At 46.5% G+C, this 4,864-nt stretch overlaps 3 annotated features.

Moving 5' to 3' along the window:
• Window positions 2,486-2,989: an enhancer, noted in NCBI's record as "H3K27ac-H3K4me1 hESC enhancer chr12:10305885-10306388 (GRCh37/hg19 assembly coordinates)". NCBI's record gives its function as "activates a minimal SCP1, AML or CMV promoter by ChIP-STARR-seq in primed H9 embryonic stem cells {active_cell/tissue: H9 hESC(primed)}" and the evidence as "EXISTENCE:reporter gene assay evidence [ECO:0000049][PMID:30033119]".
• Window positions 2,844-2,933: an enhancer, noted in NCBI's record as "active region_5958". NCBI's record gives its function as "activates an Ori minimal core promoter by ATAC-STARR-seq in GM12878 lymphoblastoid cells {active_cell/tissue: GM12878}" and the evidence as "EXISTENCE:reporter gene assay evidence [ECO:0000049][PMID:35858748]".
• Window positions 2,944-3,133: an enhancer, noted in NCBI's record as "active region_5959". NCBI's record gives its function as "activates an Ori minimal core promoter by ATAC-STARR-seq in GM12878 lymphoblastoid cells {active_cell/tissue: GM12878}" and the evidence as "EXISTENCE:reporter gene assay evidence [ECO:0000049][PMID:35858748]".

Consider the following 4,864-nt stretch of genomic DNA (forward strand, 5'->3'; position numbering starts at 1 on the left):
TTTAATTTGCATAGAGATTTTCATAATGGTCTCTTAGGATCCTTTGTATTTCTGAGGAATTTGTTGTAATCTCATCTTTGTAATTTCTGATTGTGCTTATTTCTTTTTTTTATTAACCTACCTTATGGCCTATCAATCATGATTATTCTTTCAAAGAACCAGTTCTTGGTTTCATTGATCTTTCATATGGTGTTTTGCAACTCAATTTCATTCAGTTCCTGTTTGATTGTATTTTTATTTTTTATTTTATTTCATTTTTTTGAGACAGAGTCTCACTGTGTCACCCAGGCTGGAGTGCAGTGGCACGATCTCAGCTCACTGTGACCTCCACCTCCTGGGTTCAAGAGATTCTCATGCCTCAGCCCCCCGAGTAGCTGGGATTACAGGCATGCACCACCACACCAGAATAATTTTTTTTTTTTTTGAGACAGAATCTTGTTCTGTCACCCAGGCTGGAATGCAGTGGCACGATCTTGGCTCACTGCAACCTCTGCCTCCTGGGTTCAAGTGATTCTCCTGCCTCAGCCTCCTGAGAAGCTGGGACTGCAGGCAGACACCACCATGCTCAGCTAATTTTTGTATTTTTTAGTAGAGATGGGGTTTCACCATGTTGGCCAGGCTGGTTGTGAACTCCTGACCTGAAGTGATCCGCCCACCTCGACCTCCCAAAGTGCTGCGATTGCAGGCATGAGCCACTGTGCCTGGCCTAGAGTTAGTACTGATATGTGACATTGATCCTGTCATCATGTTCTTAGCTGGTGACTTTGTAGTTTCTATTGCATAGTTGCTTTATATTGTTGGTGGGCTATGTGGTTAAATGCATTTTTGTGATAGCAGGTATCATTCTTTCATTTCCATCTTTACAGCACTCCTATAAAGACGTCTTGTAAGGCTAGTCTAGTGGTAACAAATTCCCTTAAGCATTTGCTTGTCTGAGAAATTTATTTCCCCTTCACCAGTCAAGCTTAGTTTATCAGGACATAAATTTTTTGGTTGGAATTCCTTCTCTTTAAGAACACTGAAAATAGGCCCCAATCTCTTCTGACTCATAAGGCTTTTGCTTAGAGGTCTGCTACTAGCCTGATGGTCCTCATTTTGTAAACGACCTGACCCTTCTCTCTAGATGCCTTTACATTTTTTCTTTTGCATTAACCTTGATGAATCTGATAACTATGTGCCTTGGGAATGCTTGTTGTGTCTAGTATCTCATGGGGGTTATCTGTACTTCTTTTTTTTTTTTTTTTGAGATGGAGTTTCACTCTTGTTGCCCAGGCTGGAGGGCAATGGCACGATCTTGGCTCACTGCAACCTCTGCCTCCCAGGTTCAAGCGATTCTCCTGCCTCAGCCTCCCAAGTAGCTGGGATTACAGGCATGCACCACCATGTCCAGCTAATTTTTGTATTTTTAGTACAGACGGGTTTGCCATGTTGGCCAGGCTGGTCTTGAGCTCCTGACCTCAAGTGATCTACCCACCTTGGCCTCCCAAATGCTGGGATTCAGGCATGAGACAACACGCCAGGCCTTATATTTCTTAAATTTGTATGTTAACATCTCTAGTGGGAGTGGAGAGATTGTCATGGATCGTATCCTCAAATATATTTTCCAAATAGCTTACTCTCTCTCCTCTCTCAGGAATACCAATGAGTTATAGGTTTGGTCTCTCTATATAATTCCATATTTCTCAGGGCTTTTGTCCATTTTTTTAAAATTATTTCTTCTTTATTTTTGTCTGACTGAGTTGATTCAAAGAACCAGTCTTTGAATTTCTTCACAGCTTGGTCTATTCTGCTATTAATGCTTCCAAATGTATTATGAAATTCTTGTAGTAAATGTGTCAATTCCAGAAGTTCAGTATGGTTCGTTCTTAAAATTATTTTTTTCAGGCTGGGTGTGGTGGTTCACGCCTGTAATCACAGCACTTTGGAAGGCCAAGGCAGGTGGATCGCTTGAGGTCAGGAGTTCAAGACCAGCCTGGCCAACATGGCGAAACCCTGTCTCTACCAAAAAATACAAACAATTAGCCAGGCCTGGTTGTGTTCGCCTGTAATCCTAGCTACTTGGGAGGCTGAAGCAGGAGAATCGCTTTAACCTGGTAGGTGTAGGTCGCAGTGAGCTGAGATCGTGCCACTGTACTCCAGCCTGGGTGACAGAGCAAGACTCCATCTCAAAAATAAATAAATAAATAAATAAATAAAAGTCTTTTATCTTTCAGCTCTTGGATCATTTTACTGGATTCCTTGGATTGCGTTTCAACAGCCTCCTGAGTCTCAGTGAGCTTTCTTTCCATCTAGGTTCTCATTTCTGTGTCTGTCATTTCATTCTGGTTAAGAGCCATTGCTGGGGAGCTAGTGTGCTCATTTGGAGGTAAGGGGACACTCTTACTTTTTAATTGGCAAAATTCTTTCTCTTCTGAGAGGGCTGGTATTCCTTTAACTGTGGTGTAAGTTGAATATAGTCATTTGCTTCATTTATGAGTGCTGTCAGAGGGCCAAGGCTCTGTACAAGATCTTTGTGGCTGGATTCTTGCCCTGAGTTTCACAGACCAATATTTAATATATTGGCAGAATATTTTTGGTGTAATTTGGGCTATCATCCAGCAGATGGCGCATAAGAGTAACGGCCAGCGCTGCGGGTTTTTACGTTTCAGCGAGCTCGCAACAACGTCCTGTGGTGTGGCCCAGCGCGGGGAGCTGACCCCACCAGCTCCGCTCTCAAGCCTTCGGAGAGTCCTCTCCAGTCACTATCGTCATTCCCGCATTTCCTTTGCTAGGCTGTCCGGGCTGGGCAGCTCCCTCAGGCGGACACCCATGGCTGGCAGACCTTCCGCGCCTGCCCCTAATCTGGGCATATCACTCCCTCGGTTTTCTGAGACTCGGGACTCCTTGCCCGCTGGAGCGCAGGCCATGAATCTGGGTCCCGCACTGCGGCGCTGCACGCCGCAGCCCAGGGCTTTGGCCCCAGCCAGCACATCCGCCATCCTGCACCCCAGGTTCCGGCACGGGCTGCGACGGGGCCTCGGAACTGCTCCCAAGCGGCTGGGAAAGAACTCAGTCAGGCATGTCGGCCTGCAAAGCACCCAGGATGGGCAGTGGAGTCTGCACCGTTGACAGGCTCCTAGAGCGGCCAGGCAGAGGACTTGAGAGGGGCTGGAGGGCAGGAGGTCCTGCGGAACAGAAGTGCCCCACTCCGAAGGGAAAGTCGACCCTGCTGTTCTCTTTGCGCGGCAGTCAGTGGGGTTAGAGTTATTCGGAAGAGGACGGAGAGCCTTGGGGGATGGGTGCGCATGGCCATGTTCCACTGGAACTGCCCCCAACGCAAAACAAACAAACAAACAACAACAACAACAAAAACCGGGCTCTATGCAGGCTGGAGTTCTGCCTCTGCCTGCTTGTAGGGCATATCCCCATGCCAGTTCGAATGTTTATGGGGAGTGTAGGATCTCTTGTGGCTGGAATCCTAGAGGTCCACAGCAAGAGTGGGCTGCCTTGCCAAGGGTTGTTCAGGGCCAGGAACTGGCACTGGTGTTCCAGAACCTGAAAGGGTTCCCGGTCTCCCTTTCTGTCAGCGGGAGTGGTGCTTCCTGTCTGCGTCTATTTGGCCATCTTGTCTCTGTTGACCAAATAGCTTTTTTGAGAAGAAAAATGAAATTGATAAATCTCTAGCTAAGCCGATTAGTTTTAAAAAAAAAAGATACAATTAACACTGTCAGGAAGGAAGTGGCAATGCTAAAGATTCTACAGATATTCAAATAATTTTTAAAAATGGTATGCCAATAAATTAAACAACTTAGATGAAGCTCATAAATTCCTTGAAAGTAACCACCAAAGCTCATTGAAGAAGGAATCCTTTGAACAGCTCAACATCTAAAAAAAACTGAATCTGGCCGGGTGCGGTGGCTCACGCCTGTAATCCCAGCACTTTGGGAGGCTGAGGCGGGCGGATCACAAGGTCAGGAGTTCGAGACCAGCCTGGCCAGCATGGTGAAACCCCGCCCCTACTAAAATACAAAAATTAGAGGGACATGGTGGCTCGCGCCTGTAATCCCAGCTACTTGGGGGCTGAGGCAGGAAAATCGCTTGAACCCGGGAGGCGGAGGTCGCAGTGAGCCGAGATGGTGCCACTGCACTGCAGCCTGGGCGACAAAGCAAGTCTCCGTCTCAAAAAAAAGAAAAAAAAGAAACTGAATCTGTAGTTGAAAACCTTACTACAAAGAAAACCCTATGCCCAGATGACTTCAAGGGTAAATTGTATCAAACATTTAATGAAGAAATAGTACTAATTCTAAACCAAATCTTCCAGAAAAATTGACATTGAGAAATATTTATCTGATATTCAAATAAGGCAAAGTCATAAAGAGAAAAGAAAACTATGTTTAAAAATACTGGCCATGGCCAAGCACGGTGGCTCACACCTGTAATCCCAGCACTTTGGGGGCCTAGGCGGGCAGATCACCTGAGGTCAGGAGTTCGAGACCACCCTGGCCAACATGGTGGAACCCTATCTCTACTAAAAATGCAAAAATTTGCTGAGTATGGTGGGGGGTGCCTGTAATCCCAGCTACTCAGGAGGCCAAGGCAGGAGAATCGCTTGAACCCGGGAGACAGAGGTTGCAGTGAGCCAAGATCGCGCCACTGCACTCCAGCCTGGGCGACAGAGCAAAACTCCACCTCAAAAAAAAAAAAAAAAGTACTGGCCAGGCATGGTGGGTCACACCTGTAATCCCAACACTTTGAGAGGCCGAGGCAGGAGGATCACTTGAACCTGGGACTTCAAGGCCAGCCAGGGCAACATAAGAAGAGCCTGTCTCTTTCTCTCAAATTAAAATAATTAGCTGGGGATGATGGTGCATGCCTGTGGTCACCG

The sequence above is a fragment of the Homo sapiens genome, chromosome 12 (assembly GCF_000001405.40).
Source record: "Homo sapiens chromosome 12, GRCh38.p14 Primary Assembly".
In the NCBI taxonomy this organism is placed as follows: Eukaryota; Metazoa; Chordata; class Mammalia; order Primates; family Hominidae; genus Homo; species Homo sapiens.